The sequence below is a fragment of the Homo sapiens genome, chromosome 2, assembly GCF_000001405.40.
Source record: "Homo sapiens chromosome 2, GRCh38.p14 Primary Assembly".
Lineage (NCBI taxonomy): Eukaryota > Metazoa > Chordata > Mammalia > Primates > Hominidae > Homo > Homo sapiens.
In genome coordinates, this window is record NC_000002.12 from 119984900 (window position 1) to 120004379 (window position 19480).

Consider the following 19480-nt stretch of genomic DNA (forward strand, 5'->3'; position numbering starts at 1 on the left):
GTACAGAAGTTTTGAAGATTATTTTATGGGAGTTTTTCATGGGCTTTTCTAACAGTGGTTATATTTAGTAACTGGTTATCAGGAATGGAGAGAATGACAAGTGTAAAATTTATTTCTGGAGTTATTGACTCACATAGTGGCTGTATTTGAGGAAAGGGAGTAGGTGAGGAACTAAAAGGGATTTAGAAGATTAAATAGTGTCTGAAGAGGCCGGGCGCGGTGGCTCACGCCTGTAATCCCAGCATTTTGGGAGGCTGAGGCGGGCAGATCACAAGGTCAGGAGATCGAGATCATCCTGGCCAACATGGAGAAACCCCGTCTCTACTAAAAATACAAAAATTAGCTGAGGGTGGTGGCGCACGCCTGTAGTCCCAGCTACTTAGGAGGCTGAGGCAGGAGGATCACTTGAACCTGGGAGGTGGAGGTTGCAGTGAGCCGAGATTGATTGCGCCACTGCACCCCAGCCTGGTGACAAAGTGAAACTCCATCTCAAAAAAAAAAAAAAAAAACAGTGAAGAGAAGATTCTGTTTAATTGTGGCCATTGCTTGGCTCCTGTCCTCTCCCAGTACCAACCCTCTATTCTGGTAATCCTAAGGTAAGACCTTGTCAAGCAAAATAAAGGACCTCTCCTTCTATCCCTGAAGTCAGCTTGCCTAAGTGCAGTTAGATATGCTGTTTTTCCTCTGAAAGAAAAGAAGTACCTAGAGAACAGGTAATAAATAAAGCAGAAAGGTGATTTTTGATTATGCCATGCCTTTGTTCTTATGTACATAATAAAAATTCAAACACTGTAATGAAGATCAAAATGATTTTTAACATCCTCTTCCTCATGCTCCACCCTAAGAAAAGCCCTCTCAAACCAGCGGCAACCTCTATTCAATTTCTGGTATTTTCTTCTGGGGTAAAAATGTGTACTTACATTTGTGTGTACGTGTACATACACGTTTTGTTAAAGCCAACAAGGTTGTACAGTATGTTCTTCTGCAGCTTGCTTTTTCGTCTTGGGATATATACAGATGTTGGGATACGTATATCAGCATGTTCAGATCTATCTTATTCTTTTTCACCACTGCCTAGTACTCTATCATATGGTTATACTCTAATTTCTTAATGGACACTTAGATGGTTTCCGTTTCTGCTGTGCAAACAAAGCTGCAATGAAAATCATACAAATGTTTTTGTTAATTGTTGCAAGTGTATGCGTAGGGTAAATTTTGAGCAGTAGGGTTGCTAGGTCATAGGGCACCTGCATTTTTATGTACTAATATTGTCTAATTGTTCTCAGACACAATTATACCCGTTTATACTCTTCTACCAAAGCATATGAGAATGTCTGTTTCTCCACATTCTTATTAGAATTTCATGAAACTTAATTTACCTGCTTATCTCAGAGAAGAAATATTTTGACATTCATTTCTTCTGTAAGGTTAAGTATCTTTATTGATCCCTTCTATTTTTTACATTACATTCCACATTGATTGCCTTTCCTTATTTTTATATTGGTTATTTGACATTTTAATCATGTGAGATGTTGGAAATTAAGGAAACTAGTCATTTGTCAGTCATATATGTTGCAAAAACCCACTGTGCTTTTTGTTTTGGGGGCTGACGGGAGGGATATGAGGACATTTTTAATGCTTGTATAAACAAACATACCAATCTTCTTGATGACTTTGGTGTCTACCTGCAAGGGCTTTACTCTAGTTCCTAGTCACATTCCATTTGTGACTGAAGCTTTCTTAACCACCATCCAAATAACCAACTCAGAAGACTGATACTCTGCTTTCTACTTTTGATCTCCCTGGCCTTGTTGACTGCTCTCAATTACGCTAGAGCTCTTCCAGTTCCACAAGTTAAGCTGTAAGCTTGCTAAAATCAGTTGTGCTTATGTGCTTTCATATGCATACAGATTTATCTTTATTATGTCATTTAATTCTATATTTCATAAGCCAATGAAATGAGAGTGTGAAAAGAAGGTTGGGCTTTTGTGAAAGCCTTTAAAAGTGAGTGATTAAAATTTTAAGGATTTTTATTTTTTTATTTTTCTTCATTTATTATTATTATTATTATTATTATTTCGAGATAAGGTCTTGCTCTATTACCCAGGCTGGAATCAGTGATGTGATCTCAGCTCACTGCAATGTCTGTACCCCAGGCTCAAGTGATCCTCACACCTCAAGCTCCCTAGTAGCTGGGACCACAGGTGTGTGCCACCACACCCAGCTAATTTTTTGTTTGTTTGTTTGTTTTTTGTTTTAGAGACAGGATTTCACCATGTTGCCCAGGCTGGTCTTGAACTCCTGGGCTCAAGTGACCCACCCACCTACCCAGCCACCTTGGCTTCCCAAAGTGCTGGAATTACAGGCATGAACCACCACACCCAGCCTAAGGATCAATGTCTTTAATTTATTGAAAACAGATATGACCAAGACAACTATGAGAGACTAACAAAAATATAGGTGACACACTTAAGGTTGTTTTTGTTTTTGTTTTGCTTGCAAGAAAGACTAAGGGATTACAAGGAGGCTTAAACCTATTGACAAAAGCCTTGGCCCTACATGAAAAGAATCACAAATGAATATACATTTATGTTTTTTAAGCTAAAACCAAATGCATGTAGTTTTTTTCCTTCTTTAAATGGTTTTTCATTTAATCAAGTACTAGTTCTGATCCCATCAGATATGTGGTCTTCTACAATGTATGTAGCAATTTCTCTGTTGAAAAATATGCAGACAGTTTTAAAATTTTTGCAGTTAAAATTGATATAGTTAGTATCCTTTTGTACATTTTCTTTTTTTTTTTTCTTTTTTCTTTTTTTTTTTTTAGACATGATGTCTCTGTCACCCAGACTGGAGTGCAGTGGGGTAACAACAGCTCATTGCAGCCTTGAATTCTTGTTTTCAAGCAGTCTTCCCATATGAGCCCCCCAGGCTCCAGAGTAGCCATGCCATTGCACCTGGCTAATTTATTTATTTTTTTGTAGAGCAGGGTCTTGCTTTGTTTCCCAAGCTGGTCTCAGAACATCCTGGCTTTTTGATGGCACCACTGCACTAGCTTAGGCAACAGAGTGGAACCCTGTCTCAAAAATATAACAAAAACCAGAAAACTCAACACAAAGCAGGATAAACTCTCTTCAACACACAGATATGTTAAATTATCAAAACCCAAAGACAAAGAATTTTGAAAGCAGAAAGAGAAGAGACTCATCAGGTAGAAGGAATCTTTAATAAGATTAGCAACAGATTTCTACTGGAAACAACAGAAGCCACGAGGCAATGAGATGCCATATTTAAAGTTCTGCGGAAATCTATATCAGCTGGATGCGGTGGCCCATGCCTGTAATTCCAGCACTTTGGGAGCCCAAGTTGGGAGGATCACTTGTGGTCAGGTGTTGGAGACAAGCCAGGGTAATACAGGGAAACCTGGTCTCTACAAAAAAAAAAAAATTTTTTTTTAATTAGCTGGGTGTGGTGGCGTGTGCCTATAGTCGCAGCTACTTGGGAGGCTGAAGTGAGAGGATCACTTAAGTCCAGGAGGTTGAGGCTGCAGTGACCTATGACAGTACTACTACACTCCAGCCTGGGCAACAGAGCAAGATCTTGTCTCAAATAAATAGAAGATATGCAATGGATTCCTCAGAAACAAAAAGGATCATAAACTATTATGAACAATTAATTATATGCCATCAAACTGGATAACCTAGAAGACATAGATAAAGTCCCAGAAACATACAACCTACCAGGACTTAATCTAGAAGATATAGAAAGCCTGAACAGAACTCTAACAAATAAGGAAATTGAAGTAGCAATTGCTAACAAAAAAAGCCCAGGACCAGATAGTTTCATGGCTGAATTCTACCAAACATTCAAAGAGGAATTAATACCAACACTTCTTACACTCTTAAAAAATAGAAGTAGAGAGGATACCTCCAAACTCATTTTATTAGGCCAGCATCACCATGATACCAAATTCAGACAAAGACATGATAATAAAACCACAGGTTAATACATCTGATAAACAGATGGAAAATTATTTAATAAAATACTAGCAAACTGAATTTCAAAACACATCAAAAAGATTATATACCATGACCAAGTGGGATTTATCCCTGGGATGCAAAATTGGTTTAACATATGCAAATCAATCACTGTGATACACATTAACATAATAAAGATAAAAGCTCAACATCCATTTATGATAAGAACTCCCAACAAAATAGGTATAGAAGGAAATTTCCTTAATACAAAAGGCCATTAATGAAAGCCCACAGGAAACATCAAAATAAATGAGAGAAAACTGAAAATTTTCCCATTAGTCTGGTACAGGGCAGGGAGGCCCACTCTCACCAGTTCTGTTCAACAGAGTACTAGAAGAACTAGCAAGAACAATCTCACAAGAAAAGGAAATAAAAGGTATCCAAATAGAAAAGGAAGAAGTGAAATTATCCTGTTTGCAGGTAACATGTTCTTATATGTAAAAACCCTAAACACTCCACAAAAAACCTATTAGAACTAATAAATCCAGTAAAGTTGCAGGATACAAAATCAACATATAAAAATCAGTTTTGTTTCTTCACAGCAATAATGATTACCTGAAAAGGGAATCAAGAAAACAATCCCATTTACAATAGCATCAAAAAGAATAAAATACATAGGAATAAATTTAACCAATGAGGTGAAATATCTGTACAATAAAAACTATAAAACATTGATAAAAGAAATTGAAGAAGATATAAATTGGAAATGTATCCCATATTCATGGATTGGAAAAATGGTTAAAATGCCTGTGTACTATCCAGAATACAGATTCAACACAATTTCTATGAAAATTCCAAAGGCATCATTCATAGAAATAGAAAAAATTCTAAAATGTGTATGGAACCAAGAAAGACCCTAAATAACCAACACAGTCTTAAGAAAGAACAATGTTGGGCCAGACACGGTGGCTCACACTTGTAATCCCAGCACTTTGGGAGGCCAAGGCAGGCAGATCACCTGAGGTCGGGAGTTCGAGACCAGCCTGACCAACATGGCGAAACCCCATCTCTACTAAAAATACAAAGTTAGCTGGGTGTGGTGGCACATGTCTGTAATCCCAGCTACTCGGGAGGCTGAGGCAGGAGAATTGCTTGAACCCGGGAGGCGGAGGTTGTGGTGAACCGAGATCACGCCATTGTACTCCAGCCTGGGCAAAAAGAGCAAAACTCCATCTCAAAAAAAAAAAAAAAGAACAATGTTGAGGCATCATTCTTCCTGATTTCAACTTATATTATAAGGCTGTCATCAAAATATTACGGTACTGATGTGAAAACAGACACATAGAACAATGGAGCAGAATAGACTCCAAAAATAAACCTTCACTGATATGGTTAAATGGTTTTTGGTAAGGATGCCAAGACCATCTTTTCAACAAATTAAGCTGGGAAAACTGAAAATCCACATGCAAAACAATGAAATTAGACCCTTCCACTATGCACAAAAATCAATTCAAAATTGAATGAATACTTAAACATAAGACCTGGAACTGTAAAAATCCTAGAAGAAAACATAGGAAAACTTCCTGACATTGGCCTTAACAATAATGTTTTTGGATACCACACCAAAAGGTCTGGCAACAAAAGCAAAAACAAGTGGGATCACATCAAACTAATAAGCTTCTGAATAGCAAAGGAAACAATTAACGAAATTAAAAGGTAACCCACACTTGGGACATATTTGCAAACCATATATCTTTTTTTTTTTTTTTTTTTTTTTTTTTGAGACAGAGTCTCGCTCTGTCACCGAGGCTGGAGTGCAATGGTGCAATCTCAGCTCACTACAACCTCTGCCTCCCAGGCAATTCAAGCAATTCTCCTGCCTCAGCTTCCCGAGTAGCTGGGACTAAGGCATGTTCCACCACTCCCAGCAAATTTTTGTATTTTTAGTAAAGACGGGGTTTCACCATGTTGGTCAGGCTGATCTCGATCTCCTGATGTCAGGTGATCTGCCTGCCTTGGCCTCCCAGAGTGCTAGGGTTACAGGCATGAGCCTGGCCTTGCAAACCATATATCTGATAAGGGGTTAATATCCAAAATATATAAAGAACTCACAACTAAATAGCAAAAATAAATAGCCCAATGGCATAAATAACCCAGTTATTAAATGGGCAAAGGACCTGAACATTTTTCCAAAGAAGGCATAAAAATGGCCAACAGGTATGTGAAAAGGTGCCCAATATCACTAATCGTGGAAATGCAAGTTAAAACCACAATGAGATACTACCTCACACTTATTAAGATAATCATTAAGTGTCAGTGAAGGTGTGGAGAAAAGGCAACGCTTGTACACTGTTGGTGGGAGTATAAATTGGTACAGCCATTATGGAAAACAGCATAGTTACATCGAAAAAAATAAACACGGAGCTACCATATGATCCAGATATGATAAAAGATAAGAGAGGAAGTATCTCTCTTCCGGGTATCTTCCGAAAAGGCAGTGAAATCAGTACATCATAAAGATAGCTGTTTTCATCCATTCAAGTACAGAAAGAGGCGGGGTGCTGTGGCTCACACCTGTAATCCCAGCACTTTGGGAGGCCGAGGCAGGTGGATCACCTGAGGCCAGGAGTTCAAGACCAGCCTGGCCAATATGGTGAAAACGCTCTCTCTACTAAAAATACAAAAATTAGCTGACCATGGTGGTGCATGCCTGTGATCCCAGCTACTCGGGAGTCTGAGACAGGAGAATCACGTGAACCTGGGCAGTGGAGGTTGCAGTGAGCTGAGATCGTGCCACTGCATTCCAGCCTGGTGACAGAGCAAGACTCCATCTAAAAAAAAAAAAAAGTACAGAAAGGGAAAAAAAAAGATCTCCGCACTCCCATGTTTTAGCAGCATTATTCAGAGAGTATAGCCCAGATATGGAAACAGCCTAAGTGTCTGTCGACAGATGAATGGATAAAGGAATTTGCAACACCATGGATAAACCTAGAGGACATTATGCTGGTTGGACTAAGCTAGACACAGAAGAATACTGCATAATTTTAATTATATGTGGAACCTTTAAAAGGCTACTAAACCGGGCACGATGGCTCATGCTTATATTCCCAGCACTTTGGGAGACTGAGGTGGGAGGATTACTTGAGCTCAGGAATGTGAGACCAGCCTGGGCAACATGGCAAGCCCCTGTCTCTACAAAAAAGTTTTAAAAATTAGCCTGGTGTGGTAGCATACACCTGTAGTCCCAGCTACTTGAGAGGCTGAAGTAGGAGCATCACTTGAGCCTGGGGTGTCAAGACTGTAGTGAGCCTTTTTGGTGCCACTGCACTCCAGTGTAGGTGACAGAGCAAGACCCTTTATGAAAAAATAAATTTAAAAATTTAGAAAGCTACTAAAAGATAAGAGAGGAAGAACTGATGTCCAATATGTTCAAAGAACTCTTAAAAGTCAACAGTAAGAAAACAGCCCAATCAAATTGAGCAAAGTATCTACACAGACATCCAAATAATATATACAGATGCCAAGTAAACATATGAAAGGGTGCCCAACCTCATAGGTCACTAGGGAATTTCAAATTAAAACAACAATGAAATGCCAACATACACCTATTAGAATGACCAAAATCCAAAGCACTGACAATATCAAATGCAGGTGAGGATGCTGAGCAATGGAAACTCTCATTCATAATTGAAAATGATACAGACCCTTTGGCATTTTCTTAAAAAATTAAACATACTCTTGCTACATAATCCAGTAACTGTGCTTCCTTGATATTTATCCAAATGAGTTAAAAACTGATATCTGGCCAGGTGCGGTGGTTCATGCCTGTAATCCCAGAACTTCGGGAGGCTGAGGCAGGCGGATCACCAGGTCAGGAGATCGAGACCCTCCTGGCCAACCACATCTCTACTAAAAATACAAAAATTAGCTGGGTGCGGTGGCACGCGCCTGTAGTCCCAGCTGCTTGGGAGGCTGAGGCAGGAGAAATGCTTGAACCCAGAAGGCAGAGGTTGCAGTGATCAGAGATTGTGCCATTGCACTCCAGCCTGGTAACAGAGCAAGACTCCATGTCCAAAAAAAAAAAAAAAAAAAAAAAAGATATCCACACAACAACATGCACACAAATGCAGCTATATTCATAACTGTCAAAAGTTGGAAGCAACAAAGATTTCTCTCAATAGGTAGTTGGATAAATTGTGGTGCATCCATACAACGTAACATTATCCAGCAATAAAAAGAAATCAGTTATTGAGTCACTAAAAGACATGGAAGAGCCTTAAATGCATATATTTTCAAAATTGTTAATGACCAAAACAAAGCATCTAAAACTATAGCTTCTGGAAGAACCACTCGTTCTTGCCCATCTTGTTCCTGTCTTGGAACTTGACCTTGGCCTCTCTTCGGGCCCTGCGTTTAAGAGCAGGATCTCTGAAGACATCGTTACTGACAACAGTTTTGTCCAAGGGGATATCCACAGAGTACCTTGTGGGCAGTAGATGATTTGATGTAGTTATAAACTTTCACAAAAGACTTGATGTTTGACCTCTTGGCTATCTTCTTGCCTATGGCAGCTGTCACTTTGCAGGGATAGTGGTCAATTCCAGCCACCAGAGCATGGCTGCAGAGGCGATCTGAGGTGCCATCATCAATGTTCTTCACAATGACGGCTTTGCATCCAGGGTAGTGTATGGCCAGGACAAACACCACTTTCCCAGGTTTTCATGAACTTGCTCATTTCAGCAGCAACCACTCAGACCTACAGCCTTTAAATACATATTAATTGCTAAGTGTAAAAAGTGGATCTGAAAAGCCTACATACACACTGTACTATACCAACTGTATGACATTCTAGAAAAAGGAAAACTATGGGGATACTATAATAAAAAGATCAGTGATAGGTGAGGAGGAAGACGGGGATGAATAGACAGAACACAGGATTTTTAGGACAGTGAACCTATCCTGTTCTCTACTGTAATGGTGGATACACATCATTATATATGTTCGTCAAAATCCATAGACTGTAGGCTGGGCGTGGTGGCTTATGCATGTAATCCCAGCACTTTGAGAGGCCAAGGTGGGTGGACCACCTGAGGTCAGGAGTTCAAGACCAGCCTGACCAACATGGTGAAACCCGTCTCTACTAAAAATACAAAAAAAATTAGCCAGGCGTGATGGCGCGCCTGTAATCCCAGCTATTCGGGAGGCTGAGGCAGGAGAATCGCTTGAACCCGGAAGGCGGGGGTTCAGTCGGCTGAGATCACCTCAATGCACTCCAGCCTGGGCAACAGAGGGAGACTCCATCTCAAAAAAAAAAAAAAAAAAAAAAATCCATAGCATGTGCAACACACAAAGAGTGAAACCTAAGGTAATTGATGGACTTTAATTAATAATGTGTCAATACTGGCTCATCAGTTGTGAGAAATGTACAGCAGTAATGCAAGATGTTAATAGAGAAAACTGTGGAGTAGAAGTTATATGGAAACTCTACTTTGTCCTCAATTTTTCTGTTAACCTCAAACTGCTCAAAAAAAATAAAGCCTATTATCAAAAATGTACAGGCAGCCCCACCCCCAACATTTCCCATCCTCTTCTCATGCTTTATTTGTGTACCTCACAGACTATATATTTTACTTATTTATTTTGGCTTACAGTCTAATTGTGTACTAGAATATCAGCTTTAGAAAGGTAGGGATGTTGTATTGCCCATTGCTGTGTCCCCAGTGCCTAGAACAGTGCCTGAAATATAACCCCTTAGATTTTTGGTGATTTTTTTAAAGCTAGTTCTGAAAGATTCATCAACTGTTTTATTTCAATGAATTGAAGAGTCTGACATAGAAAGGCATTTGTAAACAAACATGGAGAATATGATGAGATGTTTCTTTAATAGGCACCAGTAGGCCAATAGAGAAATCCACCAATAAAAAGTAAATGTAAGCTTTCTTTCTTTTTTTCTACAATGTTTTTACTTATTGGTGACTCACAGAACTTTCTTTTAAGAGACAGGGTCTTGCTGTGTCCCCAGGCTGGAGTGCAGTGACGCCATCATAGCTCACTGTAACCTCGAATTCCTGGGCTCAAGGAATCCTCCCACCTCAAGCTCCCATGTAGCTAGGTCTACAGGTGTGTGCCACAAAACCTGGCTAATATGTGTGTGTGTATATATATATACACACACATATGTGTATTAATACACACACACACACACACACACACACACACACATATATATATATATATTTTTTTTTTTTTTTTTTTTTTGTGGAGACGAGGTCTTGCCATGTTGCCCAGGCTGGTTTCAAACCCCTGCCTCAAGTGATCATTCCTGCCTCACCCTCCCAAAGTGCTGGGATTACAGGAGTGATCCACCATGTCTGGCCAGCTTTCTTTCTTTCTTTCTTTCTTTCTTTTTTGAGGAGTCTCGCTTTGTCGCCCAGGCTAAAGGACAGTGGCGCAGTCTCGGCTCACTGCAACCTCTGCCTCTCAAGTTCAAGTGATTCTTGTGCCTCAGCCTCCCCAGTAGCTGGGATTACAGGCACCCACCACCACGCTGGGCTAATTCTTGTATTTTTAGTAGCGACAAGATTTCACCATGATGGCCAGCCTGGTCTCGAACTCCAGGCTTCAAATGATCTGCCCACCTTGGCCTCCCAAAGTGCTGAGATTACAGGCGTGACAGGCGTGAGCCACTGTGCCTGGCCTGGCTAACTTGTTTTTGTTTTTTTTTTTTTTTTGGCACTCTGTCACCCAGGCTGGAGTGCAGTGGTGCAATCTCTACTCACTGCAACCTCAACCTCCTGGGTTCAAGCAATTCTCCCGCCTCAGCCTCCTAAGTAGCTGGGATTATAGGTGCGCACCACCACACCAAGCTAATTTTTGTAATTTTAGTAGAGACGGGGTTTCACCATGTTGGTCAGGTCTCCAACTCCTGACCTCGTGATCTGCTCGCCTCAGCCTCCCAAAGTGCTGGGACTACAGGCGTGAGTCACCGTGCCCGGCCGCAGCTTGCTGTCTTAAAGATCCATCATTAACTGTTTTCTTTCAGTGAATGGAAATGCTTGATGAATAAGATTTATTTATTTAGTTATTTATTTATTTGAGACAGAGTCTCACTCTGTCGCCCAGGCTGGAGTGCAGTGGCGCCATCTCGGCTCACTGCAAGCTCTGCCTAATTTTTTGTATTTTTAGTAGAGATGGGGTTTCACTGTGTTAGCCAGGATGGTCTCCATCTCCTCACCTCGTGATCCGCCCGCCTTGGCCTCCCAAAGTGCTGGGATTACAGGCGTGAGCCACCACACCCGGCATGAATAAGATACTTTCTAAGCAAAACTTTAGGTTATTAGAACCTTTTTTCTTTCCCCATTATGCACTATATTATATTGTGCCAATAACAATACCCAGCTTTAAAAGGGAAATGTAAGCATGCTTTCTTTAGGTTGCATCATAAACTGTTTTCTTTTAGTGACTGAAAGAGTTTGACACAGGAAGGCATTTTCAAAAGCAAACACTGAGAATGTGTTATCACAATATGTTTCCTTCTCCAATAGGCCCGTTTTTTTAAAAGCCTGTAGTGGAGATAAAATCCTAAGCAATATTCAGTATCCTAACTGGAGACAGAATCCTAAGCAATATTCAGTAAATTCAATATTAATCAAGGAAAGAAGAAGGAACCAGGAGCAGATAAATAGCAAGATGTCATATTGAAACCCAGTTATATTGATAATCATATTAAATATAAATAGTCTTTAAAAAAGCAGATCAGAGGTTGCTGGGGCTGGTGGTAAGCGGAGGGACGGTCCAAAAAGGAACACGAGGAATCTTTTGGCAGTGACACTGTTCTGTTTTGATCATGGTGGTTTTATGGGAATATAAAACTATCAAAAGTAACTCAATTGGCCGGGTGCGGTGGCTCACACCTGTAATCCCAGTGAGAGGTGACAGCGTGCTGGCCGCCCTCACAGCCCTCGCTCGCTCTGGGCGCCTCCTCTGCCTGGGCTCCCACTTTGGCGGCACTTGAGGAGCCCTTCAGCCCGCCGCTGCACTGTGGGAGCCCCTTCCGGGCTGGCCGAGGCCGGAGCCGGCTCCCTCAGCTTGCGGGGAGGTGTGGAGGGAGAGGCGCAGGCGGGAACTGGGGCTGCGCGCGGTGCTTGCGGGCCAGCGCGAGTTCTGGGTGGGTGTGGGCTCGGCGGGCCCCGCACTCGGAGCCGCCGGCCGGCCCTGCCGGCCCCGGGCAATGAGGAGCTTAGCACCCGGGCCAGAGGCTGCGGAGGGTGTGCTGGGTCTCCCAGCAGTGCCGGCCCAGCGCTGCGCTGCGCTCGATTTCTCGCCGGGCCTTAGCTGCCTTCCCGCGGGGCAGGGCTCGGGACCTGCAGCCCGCCATGCCTGAGCCTCCCACCCCGCTTCCGTGGGCTCCTGTGCAGCACCAGCCTCCCCAACGAGCGCTGCTGCCTGCTCCACGGCACCCAGTCCCATCGACCACGCAAGGGCTGAGAAGGGTGGGCGCAGGCACGGGATTAGCAGGCAGCTCCACCTGCAGCCCCAGTGCGAGATCCACTGAGTGAAGCCAGCTGGGCTCCTGAGTCTAGTGGGAACTTGGAGAACCTTTATGTCTAGCTAGGGGATTGTAAATACACCAATCGGCACTCTGTATCTAGCTCAAGGTTTGTAAACACACCAATCAGCACCCTGTGTCTAGCTCAGGGTTTGTGAATGCACCAATCGACCCTCTGTATCTAGCTAATCTAGTGGGGACCTGGAGAACTTTTGTGTCTAGCTCAGGGATTGTAAACGCACCAATCAGCTCCCTGTCAAAACAGACCACGCTGTTCTCTGTAAAATGGACCAATCAGCAGGATGTGGGTGGGGCCAGAAAAGAGAATAAAAGCAGGCTGCCCGCCCCCCTCCCCCAGCCAGCAGTGGCAAGCTTCCCGGGTCCCCTTCGACAATGTGAATGCTTTGTTCTTTCGTTTTTTGCAATAAATCTTACTGCTGCTCACTCTTTGGCTCCACACTGCCTTTATGAGCTGTAACACTCACGGCAAAGGTCTGCAGCTTCACTCCTGAAGCCAGGGAGACCACGAACCCTCCGGGAGGAACGAACAACTCCACACGCGCCGCCTTAAGAGCTGTAACACTCACCGCGAAGATTCGCAGCTTCACTCCTGAGCCAGTGAGACCATGAACCCCACCAGAAGGAAGAAAGTCCGAACACATCCGAACAGCAGAAGGAACAAACTCAGGGCACTCTGTCTTTAAGAACTGTAACACTCACCGCGTGGGTCCGCGGTTTCATTCTTGAAGTCAGTGAGACCAAGAACCCACCAATTCCGGACACACCAGCACTTTGGGAGGCCAAGGCAGGCAGATCACGAGGTCAGGAGTTCAAAACTAGCCTGGCCAACATGGCGAAACCCCGTCTCTACTAAAAATACAAAAATTATCTGGGCATGGTGATGGGCGCTTGTAATCCCAGCTACTCAGGAGGCTGAGGCAGGAGAATAGCTTGAACCCAGGAGGCGGAGGTTGCAGTGAGCCGAGATCATGCCATTGCACTCCAGCCTGGGCGACAAGAGTGAGACTTCGTCTCAAAAAAGAAAAGTAACTGAATTGTACACTTTAAATGGGTGCAGCTTATTGGAGGCAAATAATTACCGAGAAAATTTGCCTGCACATATTTGTTAAATTTATTTCAAGTATTTAATTTTTTTGATGGTTTTGTAACTGGTATTTTAAAATATCAAGTTTAAATGGTTTGTGTCTAGTATGTAGAAATATAATTGACGTGTTTATTAATCTTGTGCCCTGAAAACTTGCTGAAATCACTTATTAGTTCTAATTTCCATTTCATAGAGTCTTTAACATCTTTAGCATCTTGCTTTTGAATCCATATGCCCTTTTTTCCTGTTTCTTTCCTTATTTTATTCACTAGGACCTTCATTACAATTTTGAATAGAAGTGGCGAGAGTGGACATCCTTACTTTGTTCTACAGTTTAGAGGTAAAGTGTTCATTCTTTCACTGTCAAATGTAATATTAGCTGTAGGCGTTTTTTTAGACTTTCCTCTACCACGTTGAAGTAGTATCCTTCTAATGCTACTATCCTGAAAGTTTTCACCATAAATGGCTTCATATTCTGTCAAATGCAAAATCTGTACACAAAGCTATCAACATTATTGAGAGAAATTAAAGGAGACACAAATAAATGGCCTGGAAAACTCAATAGTGTTCAGATTGCAGTTGTCTCTAAACTGATGTATAGATTCAAAGTATCCCAATCAAAATCCAAGCAGTTTTTTTTTCCTAAAATTGACAAGCTGATTCTATGAACATTTAAAAATGTCTCAAAAAATCAGTTGGACGTGGTGGCAGGTGCCTGTAATCCCAGCTACTCAGGAGGCTGAGGCAGGAGAATTGCTTGAACCCAGGAGGCGGAGGTTGCAGTGAACAAAGTTCACACCCCTGCACTCCAGCCTGGGTGACAGAGCAAGACTTCGTCTTGAAAAATTTTTTTAAAAAAAGTAATAAATAAATAAAAATGTAAGGGAAGCTGTGGACAGTCTCCCCCAAAATATGTACATCACACATATAAAATTTTGCATAAAACATCAGGGATCTTGTGAATCTTTGGAAGCCTATCCGTTAGTCTCAGGTTAAGACTCTGATTCAGGCTGGATGGGATGGCTCACACCTATAATCCCAGTACTTTGGGAGGCCAAGGTGGGCGGATCACTTGAGGTCAAGAGTTTGAGATCAGCCTGGCCAACATGGTGAAACCCTGTCTCTACTAAAAATATAAAAATTAGCTGGGCATAGTGGTGCACACCTGTAGTCCCAGCTACTTGGGAGGCTGAGGCAGGAGAATCACTTGAACCCTGGAGGCAGAGGTTGCAGTGAGCTGAGATCGCACCACTGTACTCCAGCCTGGGTGACAGAGCGAGACTCCATCTCAAAAATAAAATAAAATAAAATAAAGACTCTGATTGTCCCAATAATTATGAAAGATATTTTATTATATAATAAATTCCCTGGCCAGGCGCGGAGGTCTCTTGCCTATAATCTCAACACTATGGGAGGCTGAGGTGGGAGGATTGCTTCAAGCCAGGAGTTCAATACCAGCATGGGCAACAAAGTGAGACCACAGTCTTTACAAAATAAAAATTTTAAAATAAAACAAATTAGCTGGAGGCAGTGGCATGTGCCTGTAGTCCCAGTTACTTGGGAGGCTGTGGTGAGAGGATCATTTGAGCCCAAGAGTTCAAAGCTGCAGTGAGCTAGTGCCACTAGTGAACTGCAGTGCCACTTGACTGCAGCCTGGGTGACAAAGCAAGGCTCTGTTTCTAAAATAATAAAATAGTAAAGTAAAATAAATAAATAAAATAAATTCCCTTACATATAAAGATTTCCCAAAGTTGTTCCTTTTATCTTTATGTTCATTCCTGTAGCTTTATAATAAAGTGAGTATTGATAGACAAGTAAGTCTGTGCTTTATTTTCTTGGTTTTTCTTATCCTTCCACAAAAAGCCACACCCCATAATAATATTTTTGAGATTTATTTATTGAAATTACATTAAACCTGTAGATTAATAAGGACATTTACACAAAATGAGGATCCTCTTACAAGAACATGTAACATCTTTGCAAGTATTCAAATCTTCTTTTATGTCCTTCAGTAATTTTCTTAAGTTTTAAATATTGTTTTTTTTGTAACTACTGAAAGTAGTGGTTGATATTATAAATGGAATTTTAAACTTATATTTCCCAATAAATTATTGTTCTGATAAAAAGGAAAACTTGATTTTTTAATATTTTCTTGAGTCTGGTAATGGCTTGTCAATTTTTTTTTTTTTTTGAGACGGAGTTTCACTCTTGTCTCCCAGGCTGGAGTGCGATGGCGTGATCTCCGCTTGCTGCAACCTCCCCGTCCTGTGTTTAAGTGATTCTCCTGCCTCAGACTCCAGAGTAGCTGAGATTACAGGCGAGTGCCACCACGCCCAGCTAATTTTTTATTTTTTTTTAGTAGAGATGGGGTTTCACCATGTTGGCCAGGCTGGTCTCGAACTCCTGACCTCAGCTGATCCACCCACCTCGGTGTTCCAAAGTGCAAGAATTACAAGCATGAGCCCCTGGGCCTGGCCTCTTTCAGCACTTTCAATATGTCATCCCTTTGCCCAATGGCCTCTGTGGTTACTGATGAGAAATCAGCCATTAATCTTACTGGGGGTGTCCTGTATGTAATGGGTCATGCTTCTCTTGCTGTTTTCTAAATTCTCTCTTTGTCTTTCGATAGTTTGATTATGACATACTCAGGTGTGGATGTCTTTGAATTTATTCTTCTCGGAGTTCAGTGAGTTTCTTGAACATGTATATTAATGTTTTCAACAAATTTGGCAAATTTCAGCCATTATTTCTTCAAATACTCTTTCTACTCTTTTTTTCTCTCCTCTCCTTTTGAGCATCTGATTGTACATATGTTGTTACACTTAATGTCTGTATTAGTTTTCTAAGGTTACTATAGCAGCGTTTCACAAACTACAGCCTTGAATGGTTTAAGATAGCAGAAATGTGTTTTTTCACTTTCCTGGAGGCTAGAAGTCCTAAATCAAGGTGTGGGGAGGGCCATGCTCTCTCGGAAGTATCCAGTAGATAATACTTCCTTGCCTGTTCTAGCTTCTTGGGTTCCATGACAATCCTGGGAATTTCTAACTACCAGATGCTTCACTTTAATCTCTGTCTCTGTCTGTCATATGGCTGCCTTCCCCTTGTTTTTATCTACATAGTCTTTTCTCTGGGGGTATCTGTCTCTTTGTCCAAAGTTCTCTATCTTGTAAGAACAGCAGTCATTTTGGATTAGAGTCTGCTCTAATGACCTGAAGTCATTGGACCTTAACTTGATTACATCTGTAAAGACCCTTTCTAAAGGGTCTTTTCCAGGGTCACATTGACAGATACTGGAGGTTAGTACTTCAGCATACCTTTGGGGGAATACAATTCAACTCCTAACAGTGTCCCACAGATCACTGAGGCTATGTTCATTTTTCTTCATTATTTTTCCTTTCTGTTCCTCAGACCGGATGGTCTTAATTTACCTACATTTAAGTTCACTGATTCTTTCTTCTGCCAGCTCAAATCTGCAAATGAGCTACTCTAGTGAATTCTTTATTTCAGTTATTGTACTTTTGCATATTCAGAATTACTATTTACTTCTTTTTGTATAATTTTTATCTATGTTCTCTGTTTAAGACGTCAGTCTTATAGTTTTCTTTAGTAATTTACATTTGTTTTCCTTGGTTGTTGTTTGTGTGTGTGTGTTTTGTTGTTTTGTTTTGAGACAGCATCTTGCTCTGTCTCCCAGGCTGGAGTGCAGTGGCATGATTATGGCTCGTCGCAACATTTACCTCCCACCATGCCTGGGTAACTTTTTTATTTTTTTTGTAGAGACAGGGTCTATCTATATTGACCAGGCTAGGCCTGAACTTCTAGGCTCAAGTGACCCCCCACCTTGGTTCCCAAAGTGCTGGGATTACAGGCCTGAGCCACCATGCCAGGCCCTCATTTGGTTTTTCAACCAAACAGCTGATTTAACGTCTTTGTCTAATAAGTCCAGTGTTTGGACTTCCTCTGGGACAGTTTCTATTGACTGGTTTTTGCCCTGTGTATGGGCTATAATTTCTTGCTCCTTGTCTAATGTTTTCTTTTTGAAAACTGGTCATTGAAATAATATAATGTGAAATGCACCATGGAATACTGTGCAGCCATAAAAAAGAATGAGTTCATGTCCTTTGCAGGGACATGGATGAAACTGGAAACCATCATTCTCAGCAAACTAACACAGGAACAGAAAACCAAACACCGCATGTTCTCACTCATAAGTGGGAGTTGAACAGTGAGAACACATGGACACAGGGAGGGGAACATCACACACGGGCCTGTCGGGGGGTGGGGTGCAGGGATAGGGAGAGCATGAGGACAAATACCTAATGCATGCTGGGCTTAAAACCTAGATGAAGGGTTGATGGGTGGATGGGTGCAGCAAACTACTATGGCACATGTATACCTATGTAACAAGCCTGCGTGTTCAGCATATGTATCCCAGAACTTAAAGTAAAATTAAAAAAAAAAGAACATAATGTGAAAACTTTGGCATTTAGAATCTCCCCTTCTCTAGGGTGTTTTGTTGTTGCTGTTTGTTGTTGTTGTTATTTGTTTGTTTCACAGCTTTCCTGAGCTAATTCTATGAAGTCTGTATTCTTTATTGTATGTAACTATGGAAGTCTTTGTTCAGTTATCTTAGTGATCACCCGATGACTGGATAGAGATTTCCCTAAATGCCTGGAAGCAGTAATTCTCCCAGTCTTCGCTAAAAGGCTTTATGTGTTTGCTGGGGCACACGTTATTTATTTATTTATTTATTTATTTATTTATTTATTTAGAGACAGAGTCTCACTCTGTCACCCAGGCTGGAATGCAGTGGCACAATGTCGGTTGACTGCAACCTCTGCTTCAAGGTATCCTCCTGCCTCAGCCTCCCGAGCGGCTGGGACCACAAACACAGACACATGCCACCATGCCTGGCTAATTTTTGTATTTTTGGTAGAGACAGGGTTTCACCATGTTGCCCAGGCTGGTCTCAAACTCCTGAGCTCAAGGGATCTGCCTGCCTTGGCCTCCCAAAGTGCTGGGATTACAGGCATGAGCCACTGCGCCGGCCTTTCAACATTTAGCCAGGTAATTTACAACTCTGGCTTAGCTTTTCACTTCCTGCTCACTAGGGCTTCAGGGTGTTCTCAGATCTTTCCTGACCATCTTTGTAGCACTGGTCACATTCATAGCCCTTTGCATGCAAGTGGCCTTCTAGATTCCCTTAAATATATCAGAGCTTTTCAAAGACCCTAAGGACTTCTCATCCCCAACTTTTGATTTTGAGATTATTTGTTGTTTTTGTTGGCCTATTATTTACTCAGCTGCCTCAGGCATCCATAATGTTGTCTTCAGCAAATACCCTGGAAAAAAGCGGTTTGTCCTGAATGAGCTTTGGTTGTGTTGTTGTTGTTGTTGTTGTTTGAGATAGAGTCTTGCTCAGTGGCCCAGGCTGAAGTGCAGAGGCGCGATCTCAGTTCATTGCAGCCTTCACTTCCTGGGTTCAATAGATTCTCGTGCCTCAGCCTCCTGAGTAGCTAGGACTACAGGCATGTGCCACCACACCTAGCTAATTTTGTATTTTTAGTAGAGACAGGGTTTCATCATGTTGGCCAGGCTGGTCTCAAGCTCCTGACCTCAAGTGATCTGCCCACCTCGGCCTCCCAAAGTGCTGGGATTACAGATGTGAGCCACTGTGCCAGGCCACCTGAATGAGCTTTGAATCACGTCAAATAAAGACAGTTTTGTCCATGGGGTTTTCTAGGGCACCACCAGACATCATGTAGTGACAGTTCTCTGGGAATGGGACTTTGAAGAAGCTGCTACTGTGTTTTACCTCCTCCAGGGGCTGCCAGGCTGCATTTTTTAAGG

General features: G+C 41.8%; 1 pseudogene; it reads right to left on the reverse strand.

Annotated features, from left to right (window-relative positions):
- RPL27P7 (ribosomal protein L27 pseudogene 7) lies at positions 8269–8740 on the reverse strand (annotated as a pseudogene).